General features: G+C 39.3%; 1 protein-coding gene across 50 annotated transcripts in view; it reads left to right on the top strand.

Moving 5' to 3' along the window:
• The window catches only part of TLE4 (TLE family member 4, transcriptional corepressor), a 154,918-nt gene that overhangs the window by 98,324 nt on the left and 28,937 nt on the right, over window positions 1–27,657 (top strand). The window contains exon 9 of one of the 50 annotated variants that reach the window (NR_104239.2): window positions 921–1,050. The exons of the other annotated variants lie outside the window; for them this stretch is intronic. The gene's annotated coding sequence lies outside the window, so the exon portion shown is untranslated. The remainder of the gene's footprint in view (window positions 1–920; window positions 1,051–27,657) is intronic. 50 annotated transcript variants of the gene reach the window in all.

The raw sequence follows: 27,657 nt of genomic DNA on the forward strand, positions 1-27,657 counted from the left end.
CTTGACTCAGCATGACTCCAAAATTATGAGACCCTGGGCAAAAGCACAACAAAAGGCTCACAAATGAAAAGAATGAGTTCAAGAGAAATTTACTTAGGCCACGTCAAAAAGATTGGTACACTGCACCCTCAGGCAGTGACCAGAGATGCAAGGGTAAGCATATTTTTGTAAAAGACCTGTTTTACAGACAGATATGCCTCAGTCTTTCCTCCCCCTCCTTTCCCACTGCTCAAGCAGGTATTCATGTTTGCTGTGCTTTTAAAGCTAAAATATCACCCTTGTTAACGGTGACTCAAGGTGACTCTACATACTCTGTTCAAACTGCATTTCTTAAGGTTGGGAAGCTGGTGTGTGTTGGGACCTGTCTACTTCTGTGCATGTGGCATGCTATGAACTCTAGACAGCCAGTAGGCAGGAAACAGTGTAGCAATACCAGCTAGACACTCATCCTCTGGAACCAGGTGGTCTGGGTTCAAATCATGCCTTATGCTATTTACCATCCTTGTGATTTTTGGCAGTCTTCTTCTCTATCTGTGTAACATGGGAGTGGTAAAGTTGCCCAATATAGTAGGTCCTTATTGGTTTTTTTTTTGTTTGTTTTTTTAGTGTACAGTATGAGTAATTTGAAAATGACCTGGTTGTGTTTATTCTTTGGAGGGTTAATATTTAAATTAACTTGCATTCCACAAACAAACACAAAACTAACAGCAGAAAGGAGCAAACTAGAAGTGTGCCAGGCCACAGGGAAATTATTGAGATTAAATTTTGCCTAAAAAAAAATCTACAAAATGGATCTTGTACATGCAGATGGTTGAGAATTAACTTTAGCTGATCCTAGCACATATTTAATTCCATTGGGGATTTTGTGTTTAGGGATAGTTCAACCTTGGCTGAGAATGTGACTTTTATGTATTTTACAGCAAAACTACTTGCTGCTCATAATGGATGAAATTGGAGACCAAAGAGGAAGAACCTTCTGGGTTCCTGTCAGTCTAAATCCTGATTTTAAAAGACATTCACCTGCCATGCTAGTGTTGTGTGCTTCTACTGGTAGGAAAAGCTAATAACTACCCTGACGAGCTCAACGAGTGGCCCGAGGACTGTGATCTCACAGTTTACCGTTTTTGCAGAGAGCCTCTTTTATTTTCGTGTCAGATTATCTGTAAAATGGACTTCTCCCTCCAGTGTTGTAAACCATAACAATTCTGGCATTCCTCTAATTGTGTGGGGAGAGGGAGTATACCCAACAGATGCTTGTCGAGCAGGAGAGACTCTTGCTGCTTTTCATTATTTTACTACTCATACACCTAATCCCTGTCAATAAGGTTGGCTGTTTGGGGAAAGAACACACATCCCTGCACTATAATACTGATTTATTTGCAGCTTCTTTTCTTCAGACCGAGTTAACTGAGGAGTCTCACAAGGCAGTGAGTCAGCCTTGCTATGGACTTTGACAGAAGTATATCTGAAGGGAAGGGAGTGATTGCAGTATTCAGGGTGCTGGGGAACAGCAGACCTGGTTCAGCAAGGGGAGGTTAAGGACTATACTCCCACCCCTACTCAAGACATGAATGCCTCTCATAGTGTGATCCCTGGTTGCTTTGTTTTCAGTGAAGATTAGCCTCAGTTTCTCCGTTAAAAAAAAAAAAAAGTCAGTCTGGAAGATTTTATACGGCCTATGCTTTTTAGGCCATTGAAACAAAACACTTTTTTTTTTTTTTTTTTTTTTTTTTTTTGCAGAGGTGGTGGTGGGGGAGGGGGGATGCCCTTTCAGTGATTAGTGCCCTGCTACATAGTTGTCTTCCAGAGCTACAATGTCAAGGAGCCCTCCTGTCCTGGGGAGAGAGGGTGCGCAGAATGGAAATTCAGCTTGCTCAAAGAGTCATACCAACAGGGCTCTAGCAGATTTCATATTTTCTTAATAAGAATGACAAAGGGGCCAGAGTCCTGGAAAGTAAGATACACACTGGGCATAAGATGGTGTTTGCCCTCATGGGAAGAGTGTGGTTTTCCCACAGGAGAATCCAGAATAACCAACCAACATGGCCAAGTTTCCCACTGTGGGCGGGCAGTGAGGGGCCCCTGAGCAGACAGGATTTCAACTTCCCACATGAGCCAGGGTGGGTCTGGCAAAGGTTTAGGAGATGTCTTTCAAGTGAATCTGTTTTTCTACATGTTTTCTACCTCTGGATGTATAGAGTCAGCTTCCTGCATGACCTGTTTTTGTGAGACAGAGGACCTGGGAAACATGAGGCCATATTTGAGGCGGTTCATTCTTACCAACCGCCAGACCTTTGTTTTTAGAGAAGTGGAATCTTCACCAAAGGCCCAAGAAGCCTTTGTGGGGTCAGCTGTGCTTGAGAATTCTTGAATCTTTGTTACTCTTTATCACCTACCTGAGATGCCACTTTTGCTTGCTTAGCTCAGGTTTGGAATTTGATTTAAGAGGGATTCACATTTCTCTGTTTATCAGAACTTAGCATCAATTGTGTTTCTTTGTAGAGATGTATGTTACTTAAAAGATAAGGGAAAGGAGCATGTGTTTCTGTAGCTCAGAAAACCCTAAGAGGAAGGACCAGATAAAGTGGAAACTTTCTACAGCGACAATTAGAGTTATGTTAAAGAAACAAGTGCAAGTGAGGGCAGGTGGAGCATAGAAAACTCTCAGCACAGGGACTCAATTAAAAATGCTTTTAAAATGTAATTCCAATCAATGTGGATAGTCTTAGAACATTGCAAGATGTGTGAAAACATGCTTTAAATGCCAGCAACCAGTGAAAAGGGCACGGTTTTAGAAACCCTGCTATAAATTATGTGCCTTTGGCTTTCAGGAACGTGGAGGATACATCGCTGAAATATTCAGAATAAATATCAGAGAGAATTGTACAGTCTTTTCATTCTGCAAGGAATGAAATTTTTAAAGAGCTAGTTGTGTTTGGCGTAAGATCCTGAAATTTTTTTATAGTGTCACAACATTTGTTTTGGGAGATGTACAAATCAAATCTGATTATAACAAATATTATAACAAAAATATCCCTCTAACCAAACAATTTCTAGACCCCAACCAGTGGTCCACTTATTTAAAACAATATTGAATGTAACCCAATTCCATTAAGGCAAAATAATGTGAGTTAGTCTTGGAGTTTTTCTTTCATGAGTTCCTTACCTTTTGGAATTCATATAGGCAATTGGCAGTGATTCCAAAAATGTTTATTTACCTTTGGAACTATATGATTTTAAAAGTGTAGTTTATCTTTCAAATTATTTTCTGCATAGTTCCATTTTACAGTATCTGTTTTTGTGGGAAGAGACTACTCCAAATGAAATTCTGGTTTCTGATTGGTTTCCTCCTTGCCTATTTTAGTTTCTTATACTTTTATACCTAAAAAGTTTTTCTTGCATTTAACAGAGTAATTTCCCCCTAAAAACTATTGAAGTAGTAGCATAATTTACATGTTACTTCTTGTCAACCACCAAAACCACAGGGTACAACCTGATCAAATACACTAAATATGAAACAAAACACAGGCTCAAAATAGAGTAGATGGCCATTGCTGCATGTGAGTAGTTTTTGCCCCGACCCCTGGTCAGTTGATTCCAGTCACGCCTCTCCATGCCTTCCTGGGGGGTGATTTTGTAGGGCCGTTCTGCTTAATGTTTCCTGACTCAACCTGTCCCTGGGTTCAGAACCCAGGGATCTTCTTCCTCCTAATTACCCTTGCCCTCTTTAGTCCTCCCAGGCTTCAGGCTTCCCTCCAAGTGGGGATCCCTTCCCAGATAAAAGAGTTGAGAAGTGGTTTATTGCTTTTCTCAATGTTTAAGGAAAACCACTAGAAGGCTGCTTAGTATAGAGTGAAAACCATGTGCTTTGTAGCCGTTGCCATGGGCTCTGGAGACAGCTCTGCCCCTGCTAGCTTTATGACCTTGGACATGAATAATAATTAGCACTGTGGGTGCATATACTCTGTGCTGTCATCAGAACAGCCCATTAAGGTGGAGTTTGCTATTATCTCCGTGTTGCAGATGAGGAAAGTGAGACACAGTGAGACTAAGTAAGTTGCCTCTGGTTCACCCAGAACATAAGTGATGAGCTGACTAGGATTCAGTTAGTCTTCAGAGCCCATGCTCATTATCTCTATTCTAGGGTCAGTTTTAAACCCTCATCTGGATGTACCTTACTTGATGTAGGCAAAATGCAAAGATTAGAGATAGGAGGAGCCCCAGCAAGGGGCCTGCCACGTAGGAAAATACTTAAGATTATAGGAGCTTCCTCCTTTTCCTGTCAGATCAGCAAAAATCCAAAGTATCGATTTTGTATATGTGTATTTGTAGTAGTGCTGTTGTGATGTGTTCTTTTCATGTGACTTGTCTGTCATATGTCCTTAGAGTGTAAACTTGTCACGTGGGGCGGGATGTTTTAATACTTCACAATTTTTAGGACCTTCAAAGTGGCGGTTCAAGACCATTTCACTTTGGAGCATTTTGGAATGTCATCACACAGTCCCGTGCGTGTTTTTGTGTTAAATTTCTCATATCCAACAGATGTATCCTCCTCTTCTACCAGTTCAGAATCTGCTATCTGATTAATTAAAATGTATGCAGATGAAAAATCTGACAAAGATTTTAACTTGTAGCCTCATCAGTTTGCTGGAGGTTAATAGGAATATTCTTGCAGTAACAGAATCCCCCAATTTGGATTTTCTAGCTTGATGTCATTTTTATTTCATGAAGAAAAAAGGGTAGTTTTTGTTTGGTTGGTTTTTTTTATAACCACTAACCAGATGTAGTGATAATACTTTATAACTTAAGTGTCTATAATTTTTAAATCTCTTTGTCCTTTCTGCCCTTCCCTAATTGATGAACAAGCACTTACACTTGCAATGTTTTGGCTCTTGTTTCCTATCAGCTGACTTTTGGAGATTTACAGCATGGATTAAGTAGGGACCACTTGCTTATCCTACTTTTCTTTGTTTTCCTTTCCAGTATTCCATTCCCTTTTTCCCTGCCATCTCCTCCTGACCCTCCAGAAAAGGACATCTTAGTACCTTAGTTGGGTGGCAGTCACAGAAGAAAACTTGATTCCAGTGCTATATCAAATTGTTGGGGCAGCCTAAGGAATTAAGTTGAGGGCTGCATATCATAGTGATTTATACTTTAAGAATACCAAATTGGGGCCCATGGCTTTACAAAGGCATTTTCTTATATTAATTTGTGAATCTACATGAAAACAATTAAGACATGGAAATTAAATTTCATTTATTCTTCATTTAACCAACCACTTTAAAACAAACATAAAATCCTGAAATCAGTATATCCTTAAAATCCAGAATGTGTAGGCATTAACTATTTGTGACTGGTGGCTTAATCATTTTCAAGGTTCTTCTTTGATTCACTAAGCACTGTCACTGCCACTGTGGTTGGTCATTTTGCTTCTCTTTTAAACACAGTCCTCAGCTTTACATTAGGGAGCTAAAGTGAGGTGAGAGATAATGTCTTAGAATCTTATACCAGTTAAGTATCCCTTATCCGAAATGCTTGGGACTAGAAGTGTTTTGGATTTTGGTTTTTTTCAGATTTGGGAATATTTGCATTATACTCACTGGTTGAGCATCCAAAATCTGAAAAATCTGAAATTTTAAATGCGCAATGAACATTTCCCTTGAGCGTCAGGTTGGTGCTCCAAAAGTTTTGGACTTTGGATTTCAGATTTTCAGGTGTGGGCTGCTCAACCTGTACTGGCCACTTTGAACTGATTAGATAACAGGCATCACACAAGATGCTTGAAGCTAGATTGCCCTGGTAGAGTGACAATAAGGGATAATGACTTTACACTCGTTTTATACTACTGCCATATTTGATGATCTGTTAATTGCCAGTCATGTTTGTTTAGATATTGTTTAGTCACTGTGCCTCCCCAAGGCCTTTCTGGCAAAGGGCACAACAAATAGAGTAAATAAATTATTGCTTTTGTTACTACTGAAACTATTTTGGCTCAATACTCTAAATTAATTGTTTTCATGTAGATTCACAAATTAATATAAGAAAATGCCTTTATGAAGCCATGGGCCCCAATTTGGTATTCTTAAAGTATAAATCACTATGATATGCAGCCCTCAACTTAATTCCTTAGGCTGCCCCAACAATTTGATATAACACTGGAATCAAGTTTTCTTCTGTGACTGCCACCCAACTAAGGTACTAAGATGTCCTTTTCTGGAGGGTCAGGAGGAGATGGCAGGGAAAAAGGGAATGGAATACTGGAAAGGAAAACAAAGAAAAGTAGGATATGCAAGTGGTATTGTATTTTGTTTTTTAAATAAAATATGTGGAAAGAGAGAAAAGCCAACCAGAAATATGGTAGAAAGAGCACTGGACTAGATTCAGGGGAGGCGTGGCCATCGTCTAGCCTTATCTATGACGTCTGTTCTCTCTGAGCCTCAGTTTCCTCTACTGCATAACCACTTAGGTTCTTCTGATGTATGATGGACCCTATGATTTATTTTACTTGATATTTAATAGCAGAGCTTTATTATTTTAAAAAATCCTCAAATTATTAGTTTGAGCTAAATGTTATTCTATATAGATATTCTCAGTGAAATGTTGGAGCTGCCTCAGACATGTAAATCAAAGATGTGTTCAGTATTTTAATTTCTTTCATGTGTTTGAAGATGCATTTCCCATGCATCCATGGTTTTAGCCATGAATAAAACATAGTATTATGGAAGGTATAATGGTATAAAATCCAGAAGGATAGATCTGGGCTCAAATCGCAGACTAGAGATAGATGACTTAGCAAGTTACTCAGTTTTCCCCAACTAGATTCTTTTTAATAGTAACAGTAGCAGCAATAATATCTATCTTATTGGGTTATTAAAAGATTAAATGAGACAGTGTGTGTAATTGCAGAGTGCCTGGCATTTTACTCAATTCTCAGTAAATGTATCATGTATTCAAAGTAGTAATTTTGGCTAATTCAAAAACTATTTGCATGCTAAAAGTTGTAGTGCCTAGTATTAATTTAGTTCGTGGCCTCTGTATGATTTTCTGTCCTTTTGAAGATGTATCCATGACAGAAGTAATAATAAGCAGACTGCTAGAGCATCCTGAGCATGTGTCATGGGCCAGGCATTGGGCTGTGTGCCTTATGTATGTTGTCTCATTCTAAGATTTCCTTCTCTTTTTCTTCAAAATGTTAACTCTACTTAGTTGAAAGTATTGGACTATGATAACAGCAGAGACAAGATGCCGTGGTAGAAACTTTTTTAATTTTTTTGAATTGGTAATCATGGGTCCTGATAACTTGTTATAGTTGTTTCTTCATTTTTTTTTTTTTTTTGTAAAACAATTCTGCGTTTTGAATTGTGTATAATCTGAGATGGATTCAATTTTTTTTCTTTTGTGGAAACAAACTTAATTGAGCTTATACTATTCCAGAAGTTTTAAGATGTGGCATCTTCACAACTATCCTGTTTGTGAATTTTGTAGGCTTGTCATTGTTTTCACATCTATAAAAATGTGGTCAATTTGTGGATGCTCTTTTACTTATAGAATCAGAAGTGGGTGGTGTAAGAGATTCTACACATTTATCAAACTATGGAACTTTAGAAGGAAGAGTACTGAAAGGTTAGCCTTACCAGGTACTTCTGGCGTAATTTCTCTCTTCTATTTTGAATGCTTCTTTATGTATAAAGATGAATATCAAATTCAGTAGCTTGTTAACAAAGCAACTAGTGAGTGATGTCATTGCTAAACAAATTCAGTACGCTGTTTTATACGTATGCAGTCTCTGTCTCAGTTAAAGAAATTAGTAGATATGTGAACTATAAATATATTAAATGAGGCAGAAAAAAATCATGCATAGCCTCATCAAGCATCTAGATGCATAGGTCCACAGATAATGATCTTCATCAAGTTATGTACGTGAATCTGCCTGTTCAATAATTAGTACCATTCTTTTGTCATAATCCTGACTTTATAATGAACCTAATGCAGTAAGGCCAAAAAACTTTGTAGATGTTAATCTATGTACATTGTATTTGAGTAAATGTCCTTGTTTATCAGCAGACTTTCATTGCAAGCTTGAATTGGAAACCACATACAGACCTTTCCCTAATCCTAACTTCATCTTTTTTTTTAAATCAGAGAAAAATAATGAATTTATTCTATCAATAATTCTTAAAATAGCTTGGTAATAACTATCATTTATAAAGATTACCACTGTATCTGAGAAAAAACAATACACAGTCAGTAATTCTCATCAAAATCACCTGAACGTTGCTTTAGGTTTCAGTGGCACTCTAGTTTAAGGAAGTACTTTATTATTGTTTTTCTTTTTTTTTTATTATTATTATACTTTAAGTTTTAGGGTACATGTGCACAATGTGCAGGTTTGTTACATATGTATACATGTGCCTGTTGGTGTACTGCATCCATTAACTCGTCATTTATCATTAGGTATATGTCCTAATGCTATCCCTCCCCCCTGCCCCCACCCTACAACAGTCCCCGGAGTATGATGTTCCCCTTCCTGTGTCCATGTGTTCTCGTTGTTCAATTCCCATCCATGAGTGAGAACATGCGGTGTTTGGTTTTTTCTCCTTGTGATAGTTTGCTGAGAATGATGATTTCCAGTTTCATCCATGTCCCTACAAAGGACAGGAACTCATCATTTTTTATGGCTGCATAGTATTCCATGATGTATATGTGCCACATTTTCTTAATCCAGTCTATCATTGTTGGACATTTGGGTTGGTTCCAAGTCTTTGCTATTGTGAATAGTGCCGCAGTAAACATACGTGTGCATGTGTCTTTATAGCAGCATGATGTATAGTCCTTTGGGTATATACCCAGTAATGGGATGGCTGGGTCAAATGGTATTTCTAGTTCTAGATCCCTGAGGAATCGCCACACTGACTTCCACAATGGTTGAACTAGTTTACAGTCCCACCAATAGTGTAAAAGTGTTCCTATTTCTCCACCTCCTCTCCAACACCTGTTGTTTCCTGACTTTAATGATCGCCATTCTAACTGGTGTGAGATGGTATCTCATTGTGGTTTTGATTTGCATTTCTCTGATGGCCAGTGATGATGAGCATTTTTTCATGTGTTTTTTGGCTGCATAAATGTCTTCTTTTGAGAAGAGTCTGTTCATATCCTTCGCCCACTTGTTGATGGGGTTGTTTTTTTCTTGTAAATTTCTTTGAGTTCATTGTAGATTCTGGATATTAGCCCTTTGTCAGATGAGTAGGTTGAGAAAATTTTCTCCCATTTTATAGGTTGCCTGTTCACTCTGATGGTAGTTTCTTTTGCTGTGCAGAAGCTCTTTAGTTTAATTAGATCCCATTTGTCAATTTTGGCTTCTCTTGCCATTGCTTTTGGTGTTTTAGACATGAAATCCTTGCCCATGCCTATGTCCTGAATGGTATTGCCTAGGTTTTCTTCTAGGGTTTTTATGGTTTTAGGTCTAACATGTAAGTCTTTAATCCATCTTGAATTAATTTTTGTGTAAGGTGTAAGGAAGGGATCCAGTTTCAGCTTTCTACATATGGCTAGCCAGTTTTCCCAGCACCATTTATTAAATAGGGAATCCTTTCCCCATTGCTTGTTTTTCTCAGGTTTGTCAAAGATCAGATAGATGTAGATATGCGGCATTATTTCTGAGGGCTCTGTTCTGTTCCATTGATCTATATCTCTGTTTTGGTACCAGTACCATGCTGTTTTGGTTACTGTAGCCTTGTAGTATAGTTTGAAGTCAGGTAGCGTGATGCCTCCGGCTTTGTTCTTTTGGCTTAGGATTGACTTCGTGATGCAGGCTCTTTTTTGGTTCCATATGAACTTTAAAGTAGTTTTTTCCAATTCTTTGAAGAAAGTCATTGGTAGCTTGATGGGGATGGCATTGAATCTATAAATTACCTTGGGCAGTATGGCCATTTTCATGATATTGATTCTTCCTACCCATGAGCATGGAATGTTCTTCCATTTGTTTGTATCCTCTTTTATTTCATTGAGCAGTGGTTTGTAGTTCTCCTTGAAGAGGTCCTTCACATCCCTTGTAAGTTGGATTCCTAGGTATTTTATTCCCTTTGAAGCAATTGTAATTTGAAGCAATGGGAGTTCACTCATGATTTGGCTCTCTGTTTGTCTGTTATTGGTGTATAAGAATGCTTGTGATTTTTGCACATTGATTTTGTATCCTGAGACTTTGCTGAAGTTGCTTATCAGCTTAAGGAGATTTTGGGCTGAGACAATGGAGTTTTCTAGATATACAATCATGTCATCTGCAAACAGGGAGGATTTGACTTCCTCTTTTCCTAATTGAAAACCCTTTATTTCCTTCTCCTGCCTGATTGCCATGGCCAGAACTTCCAACACTATGTTGACTAGGAGTGGTGAGAGAGGGCATCCCTGTCTTGTGCCAGTTTTCAAAGGGAATGCTTCCAGTTTTTGTCCATTCAGTATGATATTGGCTGTGGGTTTGTCATAGATAGCTTTTATTATTTTGAGATACATCCCATCAATACCTAATTTGTTGAGAGTTTTTAGCATGAAGCGTTGTTGAATTTTGTCAAAGGCCTTTTCTGCATCTATTGAGATAATCATGTGGTTTTTGTCTGTGGTTTTGTTTATATGCTGGATTACATTTATTGATTTGCGTTTGTTGAACCAGCCTTGCATCCCAGGGATGAAGCCCACTTGATCATGGTGGATAAGCTTTTTGATGTGCTGCTGGATTCGTTTTGCCAGTATTTTATTGAGGATTTTTGCATCAATGTTCATCAAGGATATTGGTCTAAAATTCTCTGTTTCGGTTGTGTCTCTTACTAGCTGCAGGACCTCAGACAAGTCCCTTCACTTGTATTTTTATTAATACTTAGTATTTAACACCAAAATATTTGGACTAGGAGTTCTCTAAGTCTGTGAATACATCCAAAAATTAAGATTTACTCTGGGGGAAATTATGTACTGATGAAGTAGAATGAGTCTTGGATATACTTAATCTGCTGTGGTTAAAGGAAGTCACTATCAGCCAACTCAGTAACGTTATTTTGTTTTTTATGTTTAGATGTACAAATAAAAATAGCTGTTATATATTTGTTAGATTTTGATGAAGAGCTTGCTTCATATGGTAAAGAGCTCTTCACATACATTGTTGTAGCAGAAGCGAAGGTTCATTGGATATAGGCTCTTTCCTTATAGAGTGACAGCATACATGCCTGGTAAAGTTGAAAGATCTCTAGCTTTCATGTTACTGGGTGTTAGGACATTTCTCTCAGGAATTGAAGATCGAATGTCCACATTAAGGACATTCTAGACATTCTAAGTCCTTATTCTAAGGATACACTGACTTTTCTGGCTACATGGATACAGATCTGTTCAGTGATTCTGTGGATAACTTTTTAAGAAAAATATGCTACATATTTTCCAAGGATTCCTTAACTACTTCCTGGAGGCAGGGAGGGAAGGAGGGAGAGAAAGAGAGGGAGGGAGGAGGGAGGAAGAGAGGGAGAGAGGGAGACAGAGAGAGAGAGAGAGAGAGTGTGTGCATGTGTGTGTGTGTGTGTGTGTGTGTGTGTGTATGTGTGTGTGTGTGTAATTTGGTATATAATATAGTTATATATAATTTGATATTTTTTTAATGACTCTTGGATAGCATAAGAAAATGTTACCAAAAGAGTGAAATCTTGATTAGTTTGAACTTACCTCACTGGTGTCTCATGTAACCTGTTATTGTTAAGATGTGGTGCCATAAAGAGGGCCACTCAGATTCAGCACATTGGCAGTTGGTTGGAGTTTGGATCTGGAAGCATCCTATTTTGTGGTTTTCTTAAGTTAAAACTTTATTTTAAAAGAGAAAATAAATATACAGGCTCTTTTTAAGATCAGGCAGGCCCACAGTCTTTTATCCACTATTCTGAAATCCAGAAAGCTCTGAAAACTGAAAGGTTTTTTTTGCATCTCATTCATAACAAAACTGAACCTGGCTTGAAGTGATGTAAAAGTGTATTAATGTTTGATTATAGACTGTTATTCCAGCCCCTGTTAGAGTATATGCATCATATTGCCTTTAGGAAATTCCCCAGATACTGAATTCTAAAGCACATCTGGCCCTCAAGGATTTCCTGACATGCCTTTTCCAAGTCCAGCCTTGGAACTTGTGTGCTTACCTTATCTCTAACTCTCATTGAAAAGAGGCAAAGCGGTCAAAAACCTTGTCCTTTTCAGCTTTGAGCCTTCCTGCATTCCTGTGAGGGGCCTGCGTTGTAGTAGTCGTTTGTCATAAATCAGTGAAGGGAGGGAGGAATGTTCAGGCAGGTGTTCCAAACCAGTCAGCCAGCAATTTCCTGTCCAGTGTCCTAGGCTTAAATTAAGCCATGAAACTCAGTTGCCTGATGAAACTGAAGTTATCAAGTAACAATTTAGGACCTTTCCCCGGCATTTAAAATCATGAGAATGAAAATGCTCAAGCATCTCAGGGTGGTAAAATGACTCTTGGTTGGGGTTGCAGATCACACTATGCCCACAGCCATTATCTCACCTCCTGGATCCTATTGAGAGCATCCTAAGAAGAGAATGCCAGAAACTTGTTATGATCGTTGTGGTGACAGTCTTCAGGTTATAAAAAAATGTAGGAATACACTACATTCTCCTGCTCTTACATAGACAAAGGGATGAGTAAACTATGGCCCACAGGCCAAATCTACTTCCCAGTTTGTTTTTCTGTGGCCTGTAAGGGAAAAATAGTTTTTACATCTTTGACAGGGCATAAACAAGTAAACAAAGAAAAAAATGTACAAGACCTTATGTGGGTTGCAGAGCCTAAAATGATTGTTGTCAAGCTGTCAAACACTTTACACAAAAAGATTTGCCGACCTTTGATGTAGACCATCAGTTTAACTCCCAGCCTTACTGCTCCTATTTTTAAGATTGATTCTTTCCTTCTCCATTCCTATTCTCCTTTGTCTTCAAGAGTTGGCTGACTCTGTGGTCATTCAGGGCTCATAGTTACTTTTTTGCATGAAATGAGAACCCTAAAAGATGGTTTATGTCCCCTTTTTGAAATGTACACAGGAAGAAACTCTTAGGTAGAATTAAATTGAGCGTAAACATGAAGTTTAAACTTATTTTGATATTCAGGTGTGGAGAGAACCAGTTAAAGAGTTTACATGGTACCTATGCCAATTTTACAAAGGCACCATTACTCTGGTCCCTTAATCAACAATGATCCATGTCTAAATTATGTAATTCTGGAATATCAGTATAATTTAGGAATCATACTGTGAGCCATTCTATTTTTTTCTAAATTATGTAAGTTACATCAACATACAACTTTTTATATCTTGCCTTTTAATCCATGAACTGATAAGGTGTGGTTAATCTCACTGATCTTGAAATATTCTCCGTATTTTGTATTAGGAGATTAGTAAAAATCAGTTGAGACCTAGAGTCAGAAATATTACATTCTAATACTAGCTTGACTCCTCTAGCTTTGTGACCTTAAGCAGTCACCTAATCTCACAGGAGTTCTGTTTGCTCATTAACATGGCAGTAATAATACTATCCAAATAAAGTTTTGTGGAGGGCATGTACAATGATGAAACGTGCAGAAATGGTATTGGTGAAGCTGTAATGAACTTATGACGACAGTTTATCATTTATACATATACTGACTCATTTCTTAAGATATCACAAACCATAATTCCATAGAAAGCCTGAGAACCAAAAGGAATGAGGTTGCTTTTTAATTTACATTATTTTCATCTATTTCTAATATGGATGTCTTAAAAATGAGAAGGAGTATTTATTCCTATAATGCATATCCTCAATTAAATGGTTATATTAGTTAACAATTACTACCTAAGAACTTCCTCTAAACCATACTGGTATGAAATCGAAAGCATTTGCTACATCTGATTGGTCTCTGTGTTGGCTGCGGTGGAAGCTTTTCTCTCTAGGCTGGGCTTGAATTTGCTTATATGTCTGCAGTCAGCTGGGTGGTCTAGAACAGGGATCCCCAAACCCCAGGCCATAGACCGGTACTGACCTGTGTCCTGTTAGAACCCAGGCTGCACAGCAGGAGGTGAGTGGCGGCTGAGTGAGCATTACCACCTGAGCTCCACCTCCTGTCACATCAGCAGTGGCATTAGATTCTCATAGGCATGCATACTCTATTGTGAACTGTGCAATGCAGGGATCTATTGTGAACTGTGCAATGCAGGGATCTAGGTTGTACACTTCTTATGAGAATCTTAACTATTGCCTGATGATCTGAAGTGGAACAGTTTCATCCCAAAACCAAACCACTACCGCCACCCCACCTCCGTCCATGGAAAAATTGTCTTCCATGAAGCCATTCCTTGGTGCCAAAAAGATTGGGGACTGCTGGTCTAGAACGTCTTCAGCTCAACTGACCAGGCTCTCCCTCATGTATCTATGGTATCCCTCTAGCAGGCTAGCCAAGGCTTGTTCTTTTGGCACTAGTCCAGAGTCTAGGAGAGCCTCTCTTTGCATCATGTGTGCTACTGTGCCATTGGCCAAAGCAAGTCATATGGCTGAGTCTAGCATCAGTGACAGAGCCCTACCAAATGTGGATACAGGGAGGTGTGAAAAATTGCAGCCAATATTGCAGTCAGTCTAACACAGTAGTTTTAGAGGTAAAGGAAAGTCTGCCCAAGTGGTGACTGGCTTGTAGCCTGGCACATGCGTCATGGTTGGGCCCGTGTGCATGCGAACGGCTTGGTAATTTCAGTGCTTCCCTTCTCATTTCTCATAGCTGCACTAGAACCGTGGCAGCCTTACCATCTGACTGCTTCATGAGAAATAGCCCACGCCCAAATACACACCTCTTGTGTTTGAAATAACACAAAGAGTATTGTTTCCAAGACGACTTTGATGAAATGTCAGCTTTCCCTGGGTTCTAAACCCATATAAGAAGCATTGTTACCCTCATTCCTGCTGGGTAATTTGTATACTGCAATAGTTTGTTTGAAAACATGCCCGTTGTTCTTTAAAATATGCTTAATGCTAGATTAGAACAGATTTTTTTTTCTGTTTATGCAAGCTCATTTCTAAAGCATTTAAAATAAAGAGCTTGGGCATGTGTGGTATTTAAAAACCCCTCACATGATGTTTTTAAAACAGATCAATTTCAGCATTAAAATGTTAGGAATTCAGCCAAGGAAAATTCAGCTTGGATTGTATAGCTGTAATGATAATGTATTATAACCATCTTCTTTGAAAGTGATTGTAGTAACAGAATTGAACCTGGTGAATTATATAATTTAACAGTGTTCACCAGAATACTACTCTAGGGGGATTATTCAAGCCTTTCCTAAAGCAAAACAAAACATGGATTTTATTATCACAAGATAGTCATCACAAAATATCTAAAGATAACTCATTTGGATTGAACAGAAGGTCATATGTCTGAACATCACTTATCCCACTTAACTACTTGGCAGGATATTAGTATGTAAGAGTGCATGATTTTTGTTTTTTAGCTACTTTGTCTTGTATTAAAAATGTCTTGAGTTTGCTTATTACTTACCCAGAAGGTATTTTCACGTCAGAAGTAACTTCATAATTGAGACATTAGTGATTCACAAATTGACTCCCAAGTACAGATGGCCCTCTATATTCCTGGGTTCCACATCCTCAGCTTCAACTAACCACAGATTGAAAGTATTTGGAAAAAAAATACAATAAAAAGTTCAAATAAAAATACAGCATGTACATTATATTATAAATAATAGAGATGATTTAGTTATAAAGAGGTATAAGTAATACTATAAATAGGCATTATAAACTAGAGATGATTTAAAATATACAGGAGGATGTGTCTAGGTTATATGCAGATACTATATCATTTTATATCAGGGACTTGTGTGCCCTCTGATTTTGGTATCTGCAGGGGAGAGGGAGGAGTGTCCTGGAACCAAACGCCCATGGATACCTAAGGATGACTGTAATTTAGAAAGTTTATATATCAGTCATATTATTTAGGCATATTAATCTTTTTAAAACTTTTTTAAAAGCTTTGAACCAACAACCAGTTTCTAAACATTATCAAAACATCTGTAATGTTGGTTTCTCTTCGGGGTTGAATTGTGTCTCAAAAAGATGTAATAAAATTCTGATCCCCGGTACCTGTGACTGTGACTTTATTTAGAAATAGGGTCTTGGCAGATGTCATCGAGTTAAGATGAGGTCATCCGGGAATCAAGTTGGCCCTGCATCCAGTGACTCATGTCCTTATAAGGAGAGAGAGGTTTGACGATACAGAGGAGGCACAGAAAGGAAGGCCATGAGAAAGCAAAGAGGAAAGACTGGAGTTGTGCTGCCACAAACCGAAGAATGCCAAGGATTGCCAGCAACCACCAGAAGCTGGAAGAGGCAAAGAAGCATTCTTCCCTGGAGCCTTTGGAGGGAGCATGGTCCTGCCAATGCCTTGTTTTCAGACTTGCAGACTCCAGAACCGCAAGAAATAAATGTCTGTTGCTTTAAGCCACCTAGTTTGTGGTGGTTTGTTGTGGCAGCCCCAGGAAACTAATAATGGCTCCCAAGAGCGAAGTTTATCTGTCAGTTGTGTTTCATCATCAGTGAAGTACTTGCTGTATGATGCTAAATCCAGTGAGCATCTACGTTTAATAAGCCCCAGAACTGTACATGTTAAAAGCTTTTAAAATTTTGTCATTTGGTATCATCTGGTCAGGTGCAGACACTGCACTTAGGCTCTGGGGATACTGTGGTGAAAACCCTGAATAAATTTCTGCCCACATGCAGCTCACATTTCACTGGGAAGACACACAGTAATTATAGATTAGCAATAATGACAGTATTGCCTCAGTTTGCGTTTATGTAGCCTACATTCTTCTTCTCCCCCGAATCGTAATTGCCCTTGGATCCAGCCGTGGGTGATGCAACGAGCTCACCATGCTCCTCACTTGCTCATGGGCTTGGGTTAGTGTTGCCATGGCCACGTACAAGTTATACAGAAGCGCAATTCACATGAATCTACGATGTTCTGGTGTTTCCTGGAGTTGTAGCATCTACATCCTGTGTGGTCATATGTGGTGGCCCCATGGGTGCCAGATTTTCTTCCTTGTCTCTCCCTTCAAAAATATCTCTCAAGTGGAGACCTCAGAGCTTTTCCTTCTCTAATCTTTTCAGAAAACAAAACAAAATAAAATTTTGTAACATTCTTTTTTCCTCGTCTTTCATTTTTATAGAACTTAAGTAGTTTTTACTTCTTACATGTTTGATAGAGTTCTCAGCCTACATCAAATATATTTGAATCCAGAATTGTCAACCCTAATGAAGCAAGTCCCTTGTCATTCCTTGGCCTCTTCCTTGCCCTTCCTTGGCCTCTTCCTTGCCCTCTTTTCTTGATGTTGCCTTACTGCTCTTTGTACAGGCTGGTTTCTTTTCACAATACACAAGTGTAATTTGCTGAGCCTCCTATAAGAGGCAGTCCTTAAAATCAGAGGCCTGTCTTCAACTATCAGCCCTTTGTGACCTTGCATGAGTTACTTCGTCCCCTAGGATTCAAGTTTCCTCCTGTTCAAAGTGAAGAGGTTGAGGTAGACAAGTGCTTCTCAAACTTTTAATGAGCGTTAAAAGCACACGATTCAGTAGGTCTGGCAGTGAGACTGGGATTCTGCATTTCTAACAAGCCCTCAGGAGATGCTGTTGGACAGTGGACCACACTTTTTTGAGTAGCAAGAGGCTAGATGATTTCTCTGGTCCCTCCCACCTAAAGATGAGAACTTCCTTCCCTTGTTCCACGTTGAGAAGGCCCACCTTGCTGGTCTTCACATTTTAATAGTCTCACCATCTCTGCACACTGTCTACCAAAGGAAAGGTCACAGTATACTTCGTGCTGTCCTATAGTGCTTATAAGGACCTGCCATCTGCAGTTCTTATTTTATAGCTTGGCCTTCTCCCCTTCAACCCCCGAAAGACTGAAAACCCACTATCTAATGCCTAATTAGAATTAGCCTTCAGGTTACATAGTTTTTGTGACTGTTTCCCTTGGTTATCTGCCATTCCTTCATTTCACAGTAATGGTAGATTTATAACAGTCCTCATAACTGATTAAATGTCTCAATTCTTTTGCTTTATGTGGCGTTCTTGGGCACTTAATTATACTACATTAAATGGTGTCTTGTTGCTGTCAGTGCAGTTGGATTGCAGTATAGATAGCATCTTTGGATATTTTTTAATATGTTCCTATCATACACTTTAAGCTTGTAAATAGAAGTGCTGAGCATGCATAAATGTGTTTTAAGAAATTATTTCTTTATTACTGTTTAGCTGAACTGATGGTGACACTAAACACTGAGGCTTTGATGTTTATACGATATTCTTCCCCACTAATTAACTGCACTAATGAAGTTAATTGTGGGGAAGAATGCCGTATAAAACATCAAAGCCTCGATGTTTAATCACAACTTAAAAAGAAGTTTTATACTCTTCAATTGCCAAATACATTCCAATTAGCTGAAGGAAGGTCAAAAATTCTGTTTTCTTCCATCTCATCTTCAGAGCTTTTCTGGTTGACCATTGGTTACTTGAGCTGCCTGAGTGTTAATCTAGACAAGCTGACAGTGGCATGTGGAGGACAACATATCTTCCCCCAAGCTATAAGCCAGCATAACTGAGAGACTCAGTTTCTGCAAAAGGCAGTGATGACCTCTTCTGTAATGTGTTGATGAAAAATGAATGAACTCACAGAGTAATGCATTTCTCTACCCTCTAATTTTATTATTAGCTTGACCCACTACTCCATTTTCCTATATGTTTCCATATGTTGCTCTTATAAGCCACTTCTCTAATTTCTGATAGGCATATTTCCTTGATGAATTCAGACTGCAAAACCAAGGAAATGTGTATGTGTGTGTGTGGGTATGTTTAAAGGCATAGGGCGTATGTAAGTGGAGGCTTTGCAAAGTTGATAAGAATTCTTAAATGACCAGTAGTAGAACAAGAACTCCTTCTCAGGTCAATTTCCCTGTGGTGTGTGTTACATCAATTTTTATTGTTGTTTTTTTTTTTTCTTAATCAGGCAGGGTTTACAATAGCAATAATGTAATTCAAATAAGCAATTATTGTAATTGACCTTGGCGATGAGTATCCTTGGCTTTTACCACAGTTTGCTTAATACCTGAGGATGGGCAATTATCTCATAATGCCCACTTTATTGAGATTATTGTTTTAATTATGGCACTCAAAATACATCACTTTGTCAGCATTGTAGAGTCAAGCATGGAAGCACTGCATTCAGTATTCAGAAGTGCGTAAAGAGCATCTTGCCTCATCTTATGACATGGTTATGATTGCGTTTTTTCTCTCTCCCAACTGTGGTTTTGAAATGTAGTTCATCCTGACGTGACTGGCTTATAGGGAGAGAAAGTCTGGGATTTGTTGCTGAGCTAATTGTGCTCTCAGAAAGGATGAAGGTGACTTGTGCTGATAGGTAAGCAGGTCTAGTTGATTAGGAGTGGTAATTGATAGCAATCACAGTGGCTTGTTGATTATCTGAATATGCCTTAGGTCAGAGGTTGTCAACTTTAGAATCACCTGGGAGCTTTTAAGATTGCCTGTATCCAGGCCACTTACTTAAGCCTACCCTCTCTGGACAGCGTCTGATTTAATTGTTCTGGGGTGGGTTCCAGATGGGGCTTTTTGAAAGCTCCACAGGTGATTCTTATCCCCTGACAGACCTTAGAACCACTGCCCGGTCCTTTGAATTATTTACTCCTTGCTGATTTGTCTCATTCCAACCATGACCCCATCCCAGATTTTAAGACTCCTTTTGGGGGTCCTTGTTGCTCTATACCTTACTCTTCCTCTCTTTCTTTCCAGACTTAGCCTAAGCCTAGCCACCTCACATGCACATGCTTGAAATAGCCTCAGTGCAGATTTGGGTCCTAGTAATGCTAATTCTTCCCAAGCAGTTCCAGGTCTACCCCTCCCATAGGAAGTGTCAGTGGGTAAATTTCACCTCTTCATAAACGTGAAGTGTCATTTCTTACTAATGCCTCATTATGCTCTTACAATTCAGTTTTCTCTTGGTCACATAAATATGGCTTAACCTTTATCTAAGTTTTTTGAGTAAGGATCAGAATTTATTCTTTAACATCTGTCTTAAGTACTGGGTACCACTTTGTGGAAATTTAATTCTGGTTGATTAGATCAGTAGTTATGAAGTTCCTAGTTGTTTCTCACCTTCTTTGATAAACCTGGAGGATACTGTTCACACGCATCTTGCAGTCCCTTGATTCCCTAAGGATAGGAATATTCTTTTAGGTTACCTAAGACTCCTGCTTCTTTTTTTTTTTCTTTTTTCAAATTTTTAGACGGGATCTCACTCTCACTCAGGCTGGAGTGCAGTGGCACCATCTCTGCTCACTGCAGCCTCCCAGGCTCGAGATCTTCCCACTTTAACCTTCCCACAAGGTAGTTGGGACTATAGGAATGTGCCACCACTCCTGGCTTTTTTTTTTTTTTTTTTTTTTTTTTTTGTATTTTCTGTAGAGACAGGGTTTCGCCATGCTGCCCAGTCTGGTCTCGAACTCTTGGACTCAAGCAGTCTGCCTGCCTCAGCCTCCCGAAGCAATGAGATTACAGGCATGAGCCACCATGCCTGGTGATTCCTGCCATTTTTACACTAAGAACCTGTATCTTATTGCAAATGCATGAAGATGGCATCATTATATTGACAAACTTGATTCCATTCTAATTTTGTATTCACATAGGAACACACATTTGTGTGAAGTGAGTCACTCATTTATATCCTAATGTCTCAGATTCATCCTCTTCCCCCTTCCCCAGTAGCCCTCCAGTCTAAACCACCAGCATTTCCCTCTGGACCACAGCAACAGCTCCTTACTGGCCCCCCATTTCTCCTCCAAGGCTCTGTTACCTGCCAGATCCACTTTAGCCCACACCAACAGCATGAGTAAAGTAGGGGCACCAAAAGTGGTAAAAACTCAGCTTTGATGATCTGATTCAGAATTTTGAAACCAGAATTCTACTATTTAATGTTAGCATACACAGAAGGTTTATATTGTACACTTAGTGTTGTTTTTAATTGCAAAGGATGGAGGTAGGCAGTGTAATCTTTTCTGTTCTTATGGGCTTTAAAAATTCTTACTGTGATTCGAGCCTCCTCTCTGAATGATTTTTAGGATATGTGTGTCATCTCAACAGTCCCCTTCAGTGGCCCTTAGAATAAAACACACACCTCACCGTGTGCTGGGCCTGCACACTGTGGACCCCCTTTCTCCCAGCATCACCCCTCTGTGCTCTCCCACCTGCTCCCTCCACGTCAGCACCCAGTCCTCCTGTGTGCTCCAGTGCCATTGCCAGCTTTCCGCTTCTTCAGAGCTATGCATGTGTTATTCCCTCTTTCTAGAACAGTCTTCTGGCTGTCAGGAGGTTTGGCTCCAGCTTTTGCTTCAGGTGTCAGCCAGAATGTCATCTTTTTGCAGAAGCGTTTCCTGACCACCTGGCTGCTAGTTATTCTCAGTCTCAGCATCTTATGTTCTTTGTAACACATTGCCATTCGCATTTATTTTATTTTTTATTAATGTTATTAGCAGCTTGTTTTACTTGATTTTTAATGTCCCTTAACTAGAACCAGTGCTCTGTGAGAACAAGGTCCCCATTCGCCCTCTTAATTGTATTTCTAGTGCCTTAGGGCCCAGCAGAATGCCTGGCAAATAGTGGGGACTCAATATAATAACCCTCCTGCTTTGTTATTGATAAGGGATTATGTGTCTGCATGCCCCCCTCCCCCATGTTAGTTTTGAGGCCCCACTCACTTTAGAGCACTTTAGAATTATTTGTCAAATTCCAGTGAAGTTGAGGATGCAAACCTAGTCTTCACTTAGCATTGTAACTCAAGGTTGCCCTAGAAGGCACATTTGACATGAATTCTGCAAGTTGGAGGAAGAGCGCGACTTCTGAAGAGAACACCAATCCAGGAGGGCAGGAAGATACCCAGACTTTGGAATGTGCTGTCTGAAATTTTGACTGTGGAGAAGTGGAGTGGCTTTTCCCCAGGGTCCTGAGGCTTGAAAAAGTGTCCATTACCCTCTTTCAAAGGCTTAGAGGAGACATTCACAGCAGCTCTCCAGGCCTCCTGCTACCCAGATTGGTTTGCTGGCAGAGACTTGGCCATTGCCTTTTAGGACAGATCCCAGAAACAATCATGAAAGGAAGGGCGGTATGCCTCCACTTCATGTAGTTATCTCGTTTAATTGTCATGACTATCTTAGTTTGTTCGGGGTGCTATGATAAACTACCATAAACTGGGTAGCTTAAGTAGAAATTTATTTCTCACAGTTCTGGGGGCTGGGAAGTCTAAAAACAAGGTGCCTCTATTAGATGCTTGATGAGTGCCTGATTCATAGATGATGCCTTCTTGCTGTCCTTACATGGTGAAAGGGGCAGAGGAGCTTCTCTAGGCCTATTTTATAAGGGTGCTAATCTTATTTCTGAGGCTCTACCCTCCTGACCCAATCACTTCTTAAAGGCACAGCCTCCAAATACCATCACCTCAGGGGTTAGGTTTCACCATATGACTTTTGATGGGACACAGACATTCAGACTATAGCAGTGACAATCCTGTAGGCGAAATATCCTTATCTCCGTTTTATAGGTATGACAAAGCCCCAAGGGGTTAACTTGCTAGGAGTCACACAGTTGATAAATGTTGGAGCTGAGGATTGAAACCTCATGAGTGCATGTGTATTCCCTTCCCTTCCCTTTAGACTCTACTCTCTAATCTCAGTGCTGGCTATAAAGCTGGTGCCTTTTTCACTGTTGTGTTTCCAGTGTCTAAAACATTACCAACACAGAATAGCTATTCAACTTATGTCACGGGATTCTTCTGGTATTACAACGTGAATCTCTGCTTGTGAAGTCGTTGTTATTCTTCAGATAGAGGAATAAAGACTCATTTTTCCATCTGCCTGCTAGCATTGAAAACCCTTAGGCAGAATCTCCCCCACCCAACCTCTGTGGTCTAGCTGGCCCTGTCAAGCCTGCTAATAACCTCTCCAGTCTACTCTCTATTCTCAGTGGAGGAAGGTCAGTGGGTATCTGTTTTAGAAATGTTGTCAGTGGCTCAAATGTCTGTGACATGCCATTTGTTTAATCCCATGCTCCTGGATACTTGCTTGTACGCATTAGGTTGTGGGATCTTCTGCGTTTCAATTACTATACCCTGGAAGTTTATAAACCATAAGACTTACCAGATAGCAGACTGTTGGCTGTGTTAGCAGAGAGCTGTCCTGCGGTGGGACATGCATGCACACATGCCACACGTGTGCATGCATGGAAAGAGAGAGACAAACTCAACCACAAAAGTTGTACCTCTGCTTTGAGTTATTTTAATCTTCCTTCATTTGTTCAGCAAACACTTATGAATTGTCCTTGCATTAAAAAGTGCATCATGTCCTTCGAACCATATTTAGTATTAAATAGCAAAAGCGCATCACTGAGCTAGCATTCTTTTTAATAAAATAGTGATTGATCAAATGGCATTCACCTCATTTCTCTGTGTGGTGAGTGAGAGTATTTTCTTGCAGTCCATTTTCAGCATGCTGCTATTACTGCACCACTTAGCTTGATGCCAAATTGCAGTTGGCTCCATTCATTTCTGTTTACTGAGTAGCGCTGTAGTGATTAAATGTCACTGGGTACACCAAGTATACAAAAGTAATTAACCTAAAAGGACATGTTAGAATAAGGGTCAACAACCTCTTTAGCCCACAGTGCCACCAGCAAGACAGAGTATTGACAGAGGTATTGCTGGCAGGGCAAGGGCGGAGGGGGGAGTGTGGAGAACGGAAAAGAGAGAAGCGAATGGAAGGAGAAAGAGGGAGAGGGAAAGGTCAGAGAAACAGGAGCGATAGACCAGGACTCACAATTGTCTGAAATGGCAAGTAGAATGGAGCTAAGATATTTTTCATCAGTCCTTTATAATTTAGTTCTCTGACCTGTGATCTTTTGCTGGGGGAGGGTGAGAGATTAGATCATAACTGGACTTACCTTTCAACATTTTAGCACTGGTTAGTGGAGTGCTCTTGTCTGGTTAGACCAGAGTAATTTTGGCACATGCTTGGTGAATCAACCTGTTCTTCCAGTGTTTTTTGTTTCCTCAAAGTCTCCTGCATCTTAGATCTTGTTGTCATGTGAAAGCTCGAAATCGTTTCTGTAGAATGAACTGAAATTGTATCTCTTAAGTATCTATGTCTCATTTATTTTCATTCCTCAGCATACTGAAGTTACTATCAGTCACAACTGATACTAATAATGCTTTATGTTGCTTTACATAATAAAAATTTACGTAAAGCACCAGGTAGTCATCTATGACTTAAATATCAACCAATGTAAACATCTTCCTTAAAAAACAAGTATTATATCTGTCTGCCTTATATTTGGCTTTTTCTTTCATCATCTGTGTGTGGTGACTTACTAACCAGAAAAAAAAAAAAGCAGGGGGGAGGACTAAGGATGTTTTTCCTTTTACCACATACCTCCTTGGGGGATAAACATTTCAAGGAGCTCCCCAGGGTCACTATTCTCTAAATGAGCAGCACAGAAAAACTGCTGATGCGTGCATTCTTCCCTGGGTCTGTCAGGCAGGATTCCTTTAAATCCTGTCTTTTCAGTGGTCAGACTTAAGTAAGATTTGTTTCCCTGTGGTCACAGACAGCTGAGGAGTGTGTGATGAGAGACAAGGAAAGGGATAACCTGTTGAAAACTTTCCCTCTTATAGGAAAGATTAATTTCTATTACAATTTTTAAAAAGGTGGCCTTCATACATTTATCCAACAATGAATATTCATTGCATGCCCACCCAGTGGCCAGGACTGGGCACTGACCTTGGGGGAGGGGCCTGCATCCTTGATTGGTGAGGAGAGCAGCAGTGAAAAGGCACCAGCTTTAACTGTCTTTTCAACATAGTTCTGAAAATTATCTTGTCACCCTATTACTTTCAAAATTACTATTTTTGAAGGCTGCCTCCCTCCTTTGGTGTGCCTACAAATGCATATCTCACACACACACACACACACACACACCACTGTTCTTGTATTACAGGCATTATATTAAGCACTGAGGATGCAAAGAAATAAGACACAATAGTGCATGACCTTTAGGAATGCATAATCTCCTATCTTAATATAATGAACATAATATGGTAACATGAAGCATACATGAGCAGAACCAAGTTTTGTGCCCATTCATTTGTTCAGCAGCTGTCAATTAAAACACCGAAGTACTGGATTTTCGTGGTGATCCAAACGGGCGTGGTCCTTGCCTTCATGGAGCTTCTAGTCAAGTAGATGAGATAAATAATCAAAAGAGTAGCCACAGCCACAGTGCTGGGAAGGAAGCACACAAGGGAGTGTGTTAGAGATCGGCTGGAGGGAGCTCCTTGGATAGCATTACAGATAAGACCTTTCTGAAGATGTGACATTTAAGCTGAAACATAAAAGATGAAAAGATGCTAGCCACTCAGGCTGGGAAAGAGAGTTCTTGGCAGAAGTCTGCACAGAGGCTCTGAAGGATGAAAACGTTTGGGTTGTCTGATGCTCTGAGAAGGAAATTTTCAGATCAGATTGGAGAAGGTGGGCAGGAGCTAGATGACACCTGCTACTTATATCAAGTGTGAGATGTTTGTCTTATTGGGTGTTGATTTCTGTTGTGACTCTGAGAACTTTTAGACCTGTGTTGTCTGACATGGTAACCACAAGCCACATGTGGCTTTTCAGCAGCAGCAATGTGGCCAGTCCAAATTGAGGTGTACTGTTGTCAGTATAAAATGCACATCAGATTTTGAACAGTTAGTACTAAAAAAAATGTAAAATGTCACATAATTTTCATATTAATATGTGTATTGACATGGTATTTTTTGAAGTATTGGATTAAATAGATGACCACAGTTAATTTTACTGTTATACATTTAAAAAAATCTGACTATCCGAAAAGTGTAAAATACATAGGTGGTTCACATTATATTTCTGTCTGTCAGCGCCATTCTAAAGAATAACTTTAATATTTTAATGAAGGCCCTTAAGACCAATCAGTTAAGCGATAATTGAAAACTGTTTAGCCCTTTTGTGGTGATATGAAGAAGACCAGAGTTCCTGATTAGCGACCTTAAAACTTATTAGGCAGCCTTCCTTTAAATTGATATATTGTCATTTCTTTCTTTGTTCCTGTTGTATTACCCTCAGACATTGTATAGAGTATATTTGCATACAGAATACATAAGAATATATATGAGAATCTGTGGAGTTAACACTCTTTGGAAAAAAAAGTTTAGCCTTTCAAATAGATTAAAGCAGTTTACTGGAAAAAAAAAATAGCAACATGAAAAGACTTTCTTTTCTAATAAATGTTAATAGTTACTAAAATGAAGATTCTGGTCCATTAAGATACAGCTTGCCAAGTCCTAAAGCTTAGTAACTTATTTCTCTGAGCTGTTACCCTACTTCAGCTTTGTCAAAGCAGCTGTTATGCTTGTGTTGATATTTTCATTCAAAAACAGAGCACAGTGCAGGGATAGGTATAAAGCCAGTGCACCTTCCGTGAACATCCAGGAAAGAGATTTTTGCCAACCCTCTCCACTTTTGTTTTTAGGGCAGTCAAACTCATGTACCACATGAGATTTGCCAGTGAGACTTAGTAACATTGGTTATAAAGCAGTAGGTGAATGAGTGGTTTATGATATGTTTTACAGGTCATATACTGAAAAAAATAATTCCAGAAGAAAGTGGCCAGTGCATGTAACTGTAATTTACAGAGTTAGCATACAAGATTTATAGAATTTGTATTAAGGAGAGCGAGAATTCTTGCTGGAGAACAAATGGACACAGAAATGTTAGACTTTGCAAACTTTGAGGAGGTCCATTGGATTGAAAAGTGCGAAATGACTTTGGGGTGATAGGTAGTTTAAACGATGAACACAATACAAAGTTGTATGCAGTTGGCAATTTTTATTACAATTTCTGTTAGACTGTTAATACCATGCCATCTCTAATGATCAGGAGAGGGATTACTTGATTAATTCAGCTTGTACTTTGGATTCTTCTCTCCATCAGTGGTGAGGGGTTGTACTTGTTCCAACTCATTCATCTACTTTCTTCCTTGTGTGGCCCAACACTTGCACCACATGCAGACTAGCTTTCAAGAGAGGGCAACTAAGCTCCCTACATAAGAATCAACCCTGTGTCTTTGGCATCAAAGCATCATGTCCCAGCAGCTCAGTTTGTCAGCTAAAGTAACTGTGTTCAATGAAATTTCTGGGGTGGAGCCAATAGCTTTATTCCAGGAAGAGGAAGCAACAGTGAAGAAACCCCCGAGAGGACATTAAGATAATGTTCTAATTTAAAATCAATTTTATTGATATCTTATAAATTATTAGAGCGTTTTATACTGACCAAGCAATACATAATGCTGAGGCCATGAAAACAGAACATGAATGAATTAATATTGAAGTGCTGTATTTTCTACTACACATGAAGAAAAAAATATGTAATACTTTTGTATCCTAAGTATTTTGACTCAAGGAGCCCTACTGAAAAACAAGGTGTATATTTCATTCTTCAAGGTGTGTATTAATATTTTATTCAAGACATTTCATGT

Source organism: Homo sapiens, chromosome 9 (assembly GCF_000001405.40).
Source record: "Homo sapiens chromosome 9, GRCh38.p14 Primary Assembly".
In the NCBI taxonomy this organism is placed as follows: Eukaryota; Metazoa; Chordata; class Mammalia; order Primates; family Hominidae; genus Homo; species Homo sapiens.